The sequence below is a fragment of the Homo sapiens genome, chromosome 6 (assembly GCF_000001405.40).
Source record: "Homo sapiens chromosome 6, GRCh38.p14 Primary Assembly".
Taxonomy (NCBI): Eukaryota; Metazoa; Chordata; class Mammalia; order Primates; family Hominidae; genus Homo; species Homo sapiens.
This window is the reverse complement of record NC_000006.12, coordinates 20,865,040-20,878,804: the sequence shown is the minus strand read 5'-3', so window position 1 is coordinate 20,878,804 and position 13,765 is coordinate 20,865,040. Positions and strand designations below refer to the sequence as shown.

General features: G+C 37.3%; 1 protein-coding gene across 16 annotated transcripts in view, besides 5 other annotated features; it reads right to left on the bottom strand.

Annotated features, from left to right (window-relative positions):
* Positions 1-13,765, bottom strand: part of CDKAL1 (CDKAL1 threonylcarbamoyladenosine tRNA methylthiotransferase) — a 697,948-nt gene that overhangs the window by 353,600 nt on the left and 330,583 nt on the right. The gene's annotated exons all lie outside the window — the stretch shown is intronic.
* Positions 525-1,724: an enhancer, noted in NCBI's record as "P300/CBP strongly-dependent group 1 enhancer chr6:20877312-20878511 (GRCh37/hg19 assembly coordinates)". NCBI's record gives its function as "activates an origin of replication core promoter dependent on BRD2, BRD4, P300/CBP, MED14 and CDK7 cofactors, with strong dependence on P300/CBP, by STARR-seq in HCT116 cells {active_cell/tissue: HCT116}" and the evidence as "EXISTENCE:reporter gene assay evidence [ECO:0000049][PMID:35650434]".
* Positions 952-1,181: an enhancer, noted in NCBI's record as "active region_24133". NCBI's record gives its function as "activates an Ori minimal core promoter by ATAC-STARR-seq in GM12878 lymphoblastoid cells {active_cell/tissue: GM12878}" and the evidence as "EXISTENCE:reporter gene assay evidence [ECO:0000049][PMID:35858748]".
* Positions 8,507-11,931: an enhancer, noted in NCBI's record as "VISTA enhancer hs1340". NCBI's record gives its function as "enhancer in: neural tube[10/10] | hindbrain (rhombencephalon)[7/10] | midbrain (mesencephalon)[8/10] | forebrain[9/10]" and the evidence as "EXISTENCE:transgenic organism evidence [ECO:0001131][PMID:17130149]".
* Positions 8,507-11,936: a biological region, named in NCBI's record as "VISTA enhancer hs1340".
* Positions 11,415-11,936: an enhancer, noted in NCBI's record as "NANOG hESC enhancer chr6:20867100-20867621 (GRCh37/hg19 assembly coordinates)". NCBI's record gives its function as "activates a minimal SCP1, AML or CMV promoter by ChIP-STARR-seq in primed H9 embryonic stem cells {active_cell/tissue: H9 hESC(primed)}" and the evidence as "EXISTENCE:reporter gene assay evidence [ECO:0000049][PMID:30033119]".

Sequence of the window (13,765 nt, the reverse complement as noted above, 5' to 3'; positions counted from 1 at the left end):
GCCCTGCCGAAGGGGGATATTTCTTTAAAATCTGATAGAGTTGCTATGGTTAGCTATTTATTTATTTATGAGACAGAGTCTTGCTCTGTCACCCAGGCTGGAGTGCAGTGGCATGATCTCAGCTCACTGCAACCTCCGCCCACTCCCCGAGTTCAAGCGCCTCAGCCTCCTGAATAGCTGGGATTACAGGCATGCATCACCACACCCGGCTAATTTTTTATGTTTTTGGTAGACACGGGGTTTCACCATGTTGGCCAGGCTGGTCTTGAACTCCTGATCTCAAGTGATCCGCCGGCCTCCGCCCCTCAAAGTGCTGGGATTACAGGCGTGAGCCACTGCACCTGGCCGCTAAGGTTGGCTTTAAAGATTTACTGATTTACTTAACACTTGAAGGAGTTCAGGACAATAATACCGCATGTAGGAAAAAAGGCAGGGTAGGTTCTGTGACAGGTAAGCAAAGCCTATGGGCGAGGGGAGAGAGGAGCTTATTAGGTACGAACAGATAAGAAATTCGATCTTGTTGTTCCCAGTTACTATCTAAAGCCTGGGTCTCCACTCCATTCCACCAGCAAAATTTTACTGAGAATCTGTATGTATGAGACACTTAATGGTATACAGATAAAATCATCTTACAGTCTAGTAGGGGCGACAAGACATAACACAAATAAGTATAATACAAAGTGCAAAACAGTAAAATACCATTAAATACCACAGTATTGCCAAGAAGGAAGAAATTCCTCCTGGTAGGAGAAATTAGAGCAAGTTTCAAAACTAATGTGGTAATTTTGAGCTCATCCTGAACGAAAGAAATAGGGTCAGCAAAGACCCATCATCTTTGTAGGAAAGCTTGAGACACATACGGAAAAGTATAAGTAAGTGCATTTGACAGGAGCAGCAGGAAGTGGGGTGGTTAGGGCTAAGGCTAGAAATAGAGACCACAGATGGCCAAAATTCCCAGCCTAAGGGGCTAGGATTATAACCATACAAAGCCAACTACAGACATTTTAAGCAGTCAAGGGCCAAGTCAAAACAGGATAAGAGGTTCTGCTTCTAGGAGAAGGAGGACATAATTCAGAGCTACCCTAATGCACAAGTTTAAAACAAGGACTAAGTCATGAGTCATGTGTGCATGAGTAAGAGTAAGAAATGAACACAGAACTAATTTCGGGTCACAAACAAGTTTTCTGAGTTCATACTGAACTACAGCTGAGGAAGCAGAGTCAAGGGCCAGCTGCGGTAATACACAGTGAGTCACTAGTAAATCAGTGACACAGGTCTCAGCCCCAGGGCAGTGACCTCAGACTGGCCCGCATAATGGTCAGATAGGTATACCTTGGTCCTAGTCAGCCTGTGAGGACACCTGAAGTTTCTGTGAAAACAGGAACAGGACAGCAAGTTTGGACAAAGTGAGGATCTGAAAACTCCAAGGATACTTTCAAGATATTAGGCTAAAAATCCCTAAATCTCATCAGATATTAGATGGCAAAGACTTGTAGATGACGTTCACAAATCTGTCCAGGTCAGAATCACCATGCTTATTTAACAGTTGAGGTGTTTTCATATCCCTCAGTCGTAATTGCTATTATGAACATATTTTTTGTAAAGTGCTCCACATTTTACAACACTGCCTGCAGGAATGCTTCCCTAACCACAAAAGTCTTTCCCATCACAATGTAAATGCTTATTGATTCCACCGTATTCACAGCAGTCTACAGCATCCTCCATTTAGAATATAAGCTTCAGAAGGCCAGAATTGGAACCATCATCACCAGACCTTCCAATACACAGCACATACTATGTGTTAAATAAAAGTGTTGATTGAACAAGTGTATTGACTTTTTAGCTGGTTCTAGTTAGCATTTAAATTTATAATATGTAGAAGACTAATTTGTAATAAAAAGACTGACAATAAAAAGTAAGAGAGGAGATAGGTAGCTCTGTGTGTACGTGTGTGTGTGTATATCATAAAGGAATTAGCCAACCTTTTAACTAGTTGTTTTTCATTAATTAAAGGCACTAAAGCAAATACTCAAAAGAAAACTATCCTCACCAATGTGAGGAAAGAAAACAAAATGTTTAATGATTACACACTGAATTCTACGCCTGCCTGTTACAAGTGGCTAAGAAGCAACAGAATTTGCATTCATATCTAGGTCTGCCTGACTTCAAAATTCATATTCTTTCCAAGAAATCCCTGTCTCCTGCATGCTCAAAATAAAAGTTTTAGGAATAAAAAAGTACACAAAGAAAAAATATTAACGAATTTAATCCTTAGAATGAAGCATTAATCCCATCAATGCACAAATGCTGTCATTTTGCCTAAAATATGTCCACTACATAAGAGACAATTGCCAAAGAAGGTTTTGGGGATTTTTTCCTCCAAGGCTGACTCCACACTCAACAGTAGTGGCACCCTGAATGTCCTGTCATGTTAGCAGCAAGCAGTAGTAATCTATCCTCCGCATTTGTACTGACGGCATCTTTAGAGAAAGTACACCCTTACATCCTGCCCCAAGTGAAAGAATCTGCTGCTTAAAGTTGCAGTGACTTTTCTAATCCCCAGTCCAGCTCTGCCAGTTTTAAACTACAGGTTCTTATATTTATCAGCAGAAACCCACCAGGGTGCTCAGATCCTGAGTCAGCTTCAAAAACCCCAGCAGCAGCTGGTAAAAATGGAATGCTAATTCATTACAGATGGTAAAACACTGCCTACATTTTAATTTATTTACATTTTCAGAAATTTTGAATCTGCAGTTAGATTGCCAAATTATTTTAACATGTAAGTTTAGCCTTTTTCAATTCGGTCTGTGCTTAATAAAAATTAATGTTTATCTGTTAAAAATTCTTTCAACAAGCCCAATTAGTCCTATGTTCCCACAGTTTATATTTTTAAAGCTATTTAAGCTAGTAAGCCTTTTTTTCAATTTCTTATTATACAAATCACACACAGAGTCAGGACAAAACTGGGTCTAAATCATACCAAAATGTTTCAAATAGATCTATTATATATGAGGATAATTTTCAGTAGCTTTGTATTTTCCACAATTGCCATGTTTAGTAATGTGAAACTAATAAATTAATAAATTGTAAGATTATTAAATAGCTTTACAGACCCTATTTTTTTTCATTAGTGAAGGTAATAGAGACAGAGAACACATTATTACTTAATTTTTAAAAGCCAAGGGAACAGAGAAAGGATATACCCAAATTAAATGCTTACAGCGCTGCTGCCCTCTCCTGGAATCAATCTTCCAACCCCCCTCCCCACATCTCAGAGACAATGGTGAACATGAAATATTATAACTGTACATACTGAAACATTTTATAAGAGTGGGAAGCACTATTTTTTTTCTTTTATCAATTCAAAGGTCTACAAAGATACAGAATGATCAAGTCATATGTAACCATCTCTTCAAATGCTCAGTGCTTACTTGGAAGCATGTCTTGCCACCTACTTATCAAAAGGGCTAGACTTTTTTTTTTTTTTTTTTTTTTTTTTGAGACGGAGTCTCGCTCTGTCGCCCAGGCCGGACTGCGGACTGCAGTGGCGCAATCTCGGCTCACTGCAAGCTCCGCTTCCCGGGTTCACGCCATTCTCCTGCCTCAGCCTCCCGAGTAGCTGGGACTACAGGCGCCTGCCACCGCGCCCGGCTAATTTTTTGTATTTTTAGTAGAGACGGGGTTTCACCTTGTTAGACAGGATGGTCTCGATCTCCTGACCTCATGATCCACCCGCCTCGGCCTCCCAAAGTGCTGGGATTACAGGCGTGAGCCACCGCGCCGGCCTGCTAGACATTATTTATTCTGAAACTCTTTAACCCTCCTCCCATCAGTTCAAAATATCTCAAGTTTTTTGACACAACCTCTCTTTGCTCCTTCTTGTATCAGAGTAGGAATGTCCCTAATCTTTTGTTTGTCTAACATTACCTTCCTTTCCCATCTCTTCTGAAGTCGCCCTCTCATCTATTAAGATGCCTCTTTTCAGGAATATTAAAATATTGTGGCCTGGCACGGTGGCTCATGTCTGTAATCCCAGCACTTTGGGAGGCCAAGGTAGGCGGATCACTTGATGCCCGGAGTTCGAGACCAGCCTGACCAACATGGTGAAACCCCATCTCCACTAAAAATACAGAAAATCAGCTGGGTGTGGTGGCTTATGCCTGTAATCCCAGCTCCGCAAGAGAATCGCTTGAACCTGGAGGCGGAGGTTGCAGTGAGCCAAGATCACACCACTGCACTCCAGCCTCGGTTACAGAGTGAGACTCCATCTCAAAAAAAGTTTAAAAATAAACAAACAAACAAACAAATAAATAAAATAAAAATACAAAAAAAAATTAGCCAGGCGTGGTGGCGGGCACCTGTAATCACACCTACTTGGAAGGCTGAGGCAGGAGAATCGCCTGAACCCAGGAGGCGGAAGTTGCAATGGGCTGAGATCACACCACTCTATCATCCAGCCTGGACGACAGGGCGAGACTCCATCTCAAAAAAAAAACAAACAAACAAACAAAAAAACTTGCTATTTCCTTGTTCCTTTTCATCTAGAAACATGGATAAATAGCCCCCAATGTAAAAATGCCATTTCCTCCATACAATTTCATCATCTACCATACCATTTCCATTGTTTCCATGGTTGAGGGCACCAAAGAGTAGCTTTTATGGGGCTTTAGCCATCTCCCCCTAACTCTACCTCTAACCCCAATTATTTACTTCTATATCCCAGGCCCAACGTCCTTCAAGCCAGTACAAACAAACATAATTCTAAGTAAAATCAGGCTGCTTGTTTTAAACCCACAGCTCCCCCATCTGGGACTGCCACCCTTAAGCACCTTCCACACAGAATTCCGGACCTGCCCTACTACTCCTTAACCTCCAAATGTTAGCTACTTCGATTCTTTCACCTCCCCTTAGCAACTCGATGCACTGCAATCCAATTTTTTTGCAATCACTCACTAGGACCTCTTGGAAGTTAAGAGAAACCTGGTCTCTTAGATTTCTTAAGGCTCAAAGAATATTAAAAATTAAGCAAGGTTACAAAAATTGTAACATGAAACAAAGCACTGCCTTTTAAAACACCCACGGAAATAAATACAATGTGTGGGGGCCTTGGTGGATGTGAGGGTGGGACAATGGCCCTCCTGCAAGTATCTCTAATGGCCCCTATTCTAAATACTGATTATCAGCACTTATTGGGAACAACAGAGTGATCAAGATCATGGGCCACAGAACTACCGCTTCCTGGCTATGTAAATTTGAGGAAATTGTTTAACTTCTTTGTGATTCTGTGTCTCATTTGTAAAATAGGAAAATTACATACATACTCAGTAAGGTTCTTATGTGATCGTGATTATAAATATAATCACAATGTCTGGCATGTAAGAAGTCCTCAATATATATCAGCTACCATAATCATTATTTATTATCTGCATCACCTGAGAGTTTATAAATGCATACTTCCAGGTCCTGCCCTAGTCTTAGAGACCTATGACAAAGAGTTCCCAAATCTACATTTTTGATAAGCTTCCTAGGTAATTCTTATCACACTAAAGACTGAGAACAACTAATCTATTGAAATGCTCTCTTAAGTTCCTAACTGCCACATCAATGATCTCTTAAACATCGTCTTATTCATCATCTCTTGCCCCTCATGTCCCCTCTTCAGCTTTTACTCCAATTTTTGACTCTCAAAATTTCATTTGAACTTGAATTTTTAAACGGAGCCACAGATAAGAATTTGGAACGGGCAGCTGTATTTGTCTACAAATAAAGACAACACTACACTGAGCTCAAGATTAAAATTACCCTTCCCTATAAGACATGCTGCTCCTTTTTTGATCTCTAGTTCCATTACCGACACAACCCTTTTCAACCACTCAGGCTACAATCCTTGGTCATTTGTGACTGCGTTCTTTTCCAAATTCTCGAGTTTTTCAAAATCTGTATTCTAAAATATCCTTTGGTTCTAACCCATCCTTTCCAATAACCACTGCCAAAGTTTAAGACTCCCACCTGGAACATTTTAACAGTCCTTAATAATCTTTCGTCTCCAATGTCTTCCCTTTTCACACCATCCTTTATATTACAACTGAATTATCTTCCTACCATGTAGATTTGTTAATATGTTCTCTTTGATTAAAAGGAAAACGAATAGGACACAAGGCTTCAATAATTTCACCCCTCCAGAATTGTATCCACCCAGCTATTCAGACTGCAGAGTGTTCTCTGACTGAAATATGCATGCCCATTTCTTTCAGCATTTGCTCATATTATTTCTCCAGACTAGAATGGGAATGTCTTTTTCCATATAACTCTATCATCTTCTAAACCCAATGTGTTCTTTGAAACCCAACTTAAGGTCACCTCCTCTATAATCCTGTACCATCTTGAAAGCCCAAATTAATCTTTCTCTACACACTGATGACCCTTGCTAGGATGTTGTTTACTTAGTTCTGAGTATAATTTTGATAATCAAAGCTATAAGAATAAATTAACCTTTAAAAGAGATAATCAGGAAATAGAAAAATAAACTTTTTAGGGATAATTAGGAAAAGTAGGCTTATTCAGAGTAATAATGAATTATTTTCACACACGTTTTCATTTATTCATATTGCTGTTCTAAAATATACATTTTTAAATTAAAATATGTTCAATAATACAAGTTGTTGGTTATGTTTTTAAACATGATATTTTTTGTGTGGCTACTCCCTTCTATATTAAAGATATCTAGAACTATGCAGCTACAATCTCTAAGGAACTTGCTTGAGTCTTTTCTGTTGCTCTATGTTGGGGCAAAATAACTTCAAGATTTTAGTTTGGCCATCTACTCAAGATTGGGCCAAATTAGTTGCAAATTCCAAGCCTATTGTGTTCTTAAGCATTCCTTGTTCACAGGTAAGGAGACATATATATTGTTTGTAAACTAATTGAAGGTTATAGAGCTATGACACCTAGATTCAACAGGGAATGATGTTAATTTCATGGAAAGTTTGGATTCTAGTTCAGACAAAATAGTACATGCATTTAAAATCATCATCAAATAAGAAGGAACTACTTAGCACCAATTTCTAAGACATGGTTAATCTTCTAGAAGGGGGCTGAGAGAGGTAACCTTGAAGGATCTATCAACTAGAGGTCTTGGTCAAGGGCCAAGACAGCACAAACCTTCTGGCCTAATCATTTTTGGATTATTTTCTTGGTGTTGCTAAGCGCTTTTATTAATTTTTGTCGTTGTTGTTGTTTATATCTTCATTAAGAAAGCTATTTGAGACTGAACAGACTAAGAGAGTGGGAAGAGACCGAACTTGGGTGCAAAAAATAAAAATAAAAAATCATAACTTCGTTTTCATTTATTTCTTGCCAAAATTTACCAATTCTACAACTGTGAATGTAGGCAACAAGTTATAGCTATTTGTAGTGGCTGTGATTTCACCCATGAGAAATTATAAAAATTTGCATATCATATTACAATTATTTCAGGTATCTTGAAATATACAATACTTTGAAATTATGGTAATTATTAGACACACAGCTGCATCTTATTCAGCTTATTGATAAAGAAGCACATATATCACGAAAATGTTCATGTACTGATAACGCTATTTCAATATAACTTGCTTTCTTTTAATCCTATGAATTTTATTTTACACATTTAAAAATATCATCATGAGAAGGGATCCACAGGTACTTCTCCTAATTGGTTAATGCCACTCAATCAGTTAGCATTACTTGTGTGCAATAAGTACCTTGGAATTGTGTGGGTATGAGGCCACCCTTGCCCTTGAGGAATGCGCAGTATTAGTAAATATAACAACTTACTCTTGGATTTTTCCTGGGTAATGATTTCTTTGAAGATAATTTAAATATGAGTTTATGGGTTCTTGATCATTTTTATGCTATGGATCTTTTGTTGGTAAATGTGCACCATAACAGTCCTGACCATCTACTGAGTGCTCATGCTCAATCATTATGATGATTTCTCACAATTTATGCAAGGCAAAGAATTATTATTTACATGTTGAAACAATTGACACTTTCAATTTCAATTGACAATTTCAAAGGTTAAATTATTTGCCCAAAGTCATATACCTGGCTAGTGGCCAAGCCAGGATTCAACAGTGTAATCTCACTACCCAGGCTCTTCCTATACTCACAGCCTGTAAAGAAACAGATGACAGAGCAAATGTCTACTGAATGTATGAGGGGAAAAAAATGCTGATATTTTAATGCTTTGAAAACAAACAAGTAAACGTCAGGAAAGAAGGAAAGTACTGCTGGTATGCTTTCTATCATCACAGTGTATATTAAGTAATAATCAAGTAAATTCCCAAGATGTAACTTAAAAGGAGTTTTCAACCAACTCTTGTTGCTGCCCTAATGAGTTTCTAGAAATATAATAGGAGAAAAATAAGATACATTTTGTTAACCTCTTATAGTAGGGTTATTCAAAGTAAATGGGGAAAAAAGTTAGTTGGGCATTTTAAAGTACTAAAGTAGCTTATAAATCTATCCTCTCATGAAGCCTGCAGTATCTGGACAATAGGTTGGAAATGAGTGATGGGAAATTCAGATGGCAGCAGCGTCACTGACAGAACAGCTCTCCACATCTTTGTGGCACTACACTGACAAACACTGACCTCAAGGGCATCACAGGGAGCATTCATGTAGTGTTTGGAAGAAGCGAATAGGTTTTTCTCTCGTTTTCCATTTTTGGAACATTCATGGAAATAAAATGACAAAATGCACGGGGATTCTCTAAGTGGAACATTTTAATGGGGACATTTCTATTATTTATAGAAAGGTGTTCAAGCACTCAGACCATATAAATGTTATATTTGTACTTATTAAAGAAATCGTGAAATCACTAATGTCAGTTACCTACAATCACAGATGCTAGATCGTCTTATTTTGATACACTGCACCCCGTTATAAATTATACAGCATTAAAAAATCAGCCATCAGATGCTACTTCATTGTGACTATTTGTGTTATATGAATATATACTATGGATCTTTAAAAATGTTTCATGATATTAATATTCATATTGATAAGGAAATCAACCATATATGACCTACTAATATTATGCTAGAAATCTTATTTTTAATGTTATGTGAAAGCATTCGTATAAAATTAATTTGGCAAGTTTTAAGAATTTTACTTCCTTACACAATATATAACCTCAAATACTATTTTTTTGTTTTTAGCCATTTTACCCATTCTTAACTGTGCATTCAGTGGAGTTTAGTATGTTTATACTGCTGGGCAACCATCACTGTACTTTCTTATTCTGAAGCTTCACTAATAAACAAGTTTTTGTTATATTTGAGACAAAAACTACATCGGCCTGTAGAAATAAAACACACACGTTAAAAAATGACCAAGGAAAATGCAATGTGGTTTACTATTTACTCTTTAAATTATACTTTTATTTATAAATTATTCTGAAGAACAAAGTTCATTTGGCTAATTTAAATCAAACAAATACTCTATTTTAATTTAAATAACTACAAGAGTGGTAAATGGTTTAGAATCAGATGGTCATGTGAATGTTACTAGGGACAGTTAGCTTTACTTAAAAAGAAAATCAATTAGATGATTTGTTTTAATATATCTCACATGGCCGAGATTGTGAATTACATCATATCAATACCACTGTTGAGAGCAACTCCCAACTAAAATGAGATGAGATACTGAACAGATGAAGTGCTGTTCAAAGTCAATGTAGCCCAGACTTAGGGGACAGAAGAATTAATGAGAAAATGAGAATCTACCAGATGGTGCTGCAGTATTCCTCGCTGCACATCCGCCACCTCAAGCAGCTTCTATACATGCAAAGCCCCAGGGCCCCACCTGGTAGCAGCATAATTACCCTAAATGTGCACTTATGTTTCATTACACCTTGGCCATTACTATGTGCACTGATTACAAGTATCAATCCCTTTCATTTTCATACACCTCTGCAGTTCCATAGCATTCAACTGTGAAAACTCAGCACTCTAGTCACTTCTAACACACGGCCCATGCTGATAAAACCGCAGAGGGTAAATTATTTGTCACTCTGCAGGGTGCCAATTCAGTTTGATAAGGATGACATCATGCCCATTTTACCAATAACAATGGCACTAACAAGAACGTGTAATCAACAAACCTCGGTCCTCCGCTAGCCCTGGCAGGTGCAACTCTTTTTATGCTAAAAATAAGCCAACATTAGCTTCCAGCTCAAAACTATTTCTTTTATCACAATGCTAAGCAGAAGTTGGCTTCCATAAGGCACTGCAGCTGCTGCTGCCACGGCCGCTTCTGCAGATGCCTGCATTAATTGTATCAAGGACATACTGAAATAAGTGCTTATTCAGCACAATGGCTATTGGGGAGCAGCTGGAAGCACAAGGCAAACTGTCTTGAAGAGAATGTACCAACCTAGTGTGTAAATTACAATGATGAAGTACAAAGAGAGTCTAAGTTTAAGGGTCTATAACTGCAGAACAGCATGAAAATTTAGTGTTATCAATGGAGTCTGGATCAACTAAAAAAGGAGCAGACCCTTTCAGATTTCACCAAAACTACTTTTAGAATGGGGGTGATATTTAGTACCTTTTCTACACGGCAGAAATAGGAAAGTCACCATTAAAAATATCAACAGTGTTGATATTTCCCTTTTTATATGCACAAATTATAATTCTCCTCATGCATGAGTGTATGCCTATGTGTGTCTCTGAACTAATTAAACCGCAATATAAGATTTGTTTATTATACAGAAGTAACACGTAGCTCAAAAGAAAGGACAAATTTGCCTAGCTTTCTTCCTCATTCCCTTAATACCTATTCATGCCCCCTCTATACATCCATATAGATGTACTATATATGGAATACGTACTTTGGCCATTTACCTCCCATTTCCTAACCTCTACATTAGTGAGCAACAATGAATTAATGGTGATTAAAGGCGATTCCAGGTGACAGGTAATTATGAAGCTTTTGATAGTGCTAGTTTGGGTTAGGGATAGGGGAAATTATTCAACAAAGATACTGCTGAAATAAGTGCATCCTTGGAGAGGAATGAAATGTAAAATCAGAGAAACAGGTTAGGACCAGACCATGAAGTCCCATGATTCTGTGTCAGCCTTCACCATGGTCTCTGTGACAACACTTATCCTGTCAGAAGGGGCTAAGAATGACCAAACTCCTCCACTGGTTCTGAAATTGGCCTGAAAACATACTGTGTCTCTAATAATACAACACACCTAATCTGACAGTCGTCTGAAATCTGTTAGATTAGTGATGTCTGGGCTGCAACTATAAAGCAGTTCAGTCATCTAAACTGAACACGATACACTTCAAACATAAATCGTGTTTTTTGAACATTCACAAAATGACTCATGCTGGTGTGAATCACACTTTTTACATGTTAGAAAATGACCAAAAATCAAAATAACCGTTATTTGACAACTGTTCAAATATTAACACAGTAGATCCTTATTGTCTATAAATCTCCAAATTCACAAAGGTCATGCCATTAATAATTAGCTTTCCTTTCGGTGACAATCTTCCATACAGAAACAAAGATCTGGTAATTTACAACTAAAAAATTGTAAGAGATTTACTCTATATTACACTGAGATACAAATGCCGAGATGCTGGCTAAGCTCCCTCATCAAATAAATGACTTGATCCTCCATTTGAGCCTAAGAGTACAAGCTATTCAAACACAAATTGAAGCCTCAGGAAATTCAAATTGCTTCTCTCCACAGACTTTCACGGTATGAAGAAATAGTTAAAAACAGAATGCTTGGTCCTGAATGTTAAGGGTCTACTGTATAAGTCACCAATAAATGTCACATACAGCTTGCTTTAATTTTAGCTTAGTGCAAAAGGAATATTTTATATAAAAAGACAAGGATGGGTTTGTAGAAACATGTCCAAGCATGTTTAGGCAATAGTAACTGTACCTGTAATCTGCATTGGGAACCAATCCCTCGCTGCTTCAGGAATAATTTCCATTTTTATGTAGCATTTCCTAGCAAAACCGTCCTGATGCTAAAATGGTGTTACTGTCACAGTCAAACTATTATGTAGTCAGGAACCCCGTAAAATAACAAGTTATGGTGTATCTTCATACAAAGACACATGGGTGAATTTTTAAATTTCTAACCAATTTAATCACGATGGACACAACTCTAATGATTCTATCCACTAACTCCTGGCCTTAAAATCTGTAAAATAATATCTGTGTGAATATTTGAGGAGTTAGAAAAGATAAATTTTAAAAAGTATAAGAATAAATTTCTGGTGTAAACCACAAAGCAAGATGGCTCTTATGCCCAAATGGGTCTTAATAGTTTTTGTGTCTGAAACAGTTTTTTTTCTGAGTGTATTTGATATTTGACAGATATATTAGCTCTTGAGCATCATTTATCATGTTTATTTCTAATAGGTTTCCCTTAGAACAGCTGCCTAAGATGCTAATCTTTTCTTTTTTCTTGGGCCTTTTGTAAATATTTGAAATAGCTATTCATTAACAGTTGCACATTTATTCAGTCCTGTTGTACAGCTTGTGAACTGGCATTAGCTTTTACTTTATTTTTTCTATCTGTTGGCCAGACTAGAGAAACCCTGCTGTTTGGGTTCAATCTGTCAAGGTTCAAATTATCCTCCAACTGAGAGCTAATCAAGGGCGTCTGACCTGGTTTGCAAATAAACTAGAAACAAAAGTAGGTTTATTTTTTCTTTCTTTGGGGCACTGGTTCTCAAAAAGTAAAGCAAAACAAGAGCAGATCACAAATACAATTGCCTAAAATTAAAATCAGGCACACAACTACATTTACTCAGCACTTCTGAAGTACTCGGTTTCCAGCTATAAATCCATTTTTATAGGAATTGGTTTGCAAATAGTTTTCAAATTAAACTTCACAGTTCATTTAATGCAAGCCTGTGGCATGAGGGGCACATAGATTTTAGGCAATCAAGTTACTGTGATGGGTACGCTGGAGACCTAAAGTATCTTCATGGATCCCAAGTCTCAAATTAATGGAAGTATATGTGGCAGAACCAATCTTTCTGCATCATTATCATTACTATATCCATTTTATGCACATTTCTAAAACATGAAATGCAGATTTTTCTTTTATTTTAAATATTTTCAATCTCAAAATTTGATAAGAACAGATTTTTTTTTTTACAATTTCAGCAGAGTTAGTTTTAAATGTACCTTACAGAACTACTTAGTGAATGCACTTAAATGTAGTCTTGTTTACTAATACAAATATTAAAACACTTTTCTCTTAGTATATTAAGGTTCCTAGAGCCTAGAAGTTTTGCTTGGCTCTGATTTTCAGTATTCTGTTGTATTTAACAGGTATTTAATCTTTTTGCAACAGCTATGGACAACGAAACTGAGGTCTGGGGAAATATTGTCAGGGCCACCATTCAAGAGCATTGTGATGGCAATTCCACTAAGGGCTTCTCTCAAAATGATCCAAACTGATGAAATGACCCCAGTTATCATAATAAACTAAATTGCACCTATAGCAACAAATGCATTTGCAATACCAAGTATTTAAGCCCAACATTTTCCCTGAGGAACAGCATGCTATAGTGCAAAGTGCAGAGGCCAATCAATCAGGAAATCTCAATTTTACTACTCTTCTTCAGACTCTAAGCGTAACCTCTCTGTGCTTCAGCAAAACAGAGATAACAAGCACCAGCAGCAATAATTCATGAGGTGAATATAAAGATGAAATGAAAAGCTAGATGTAAAAGTGCAAGGAAA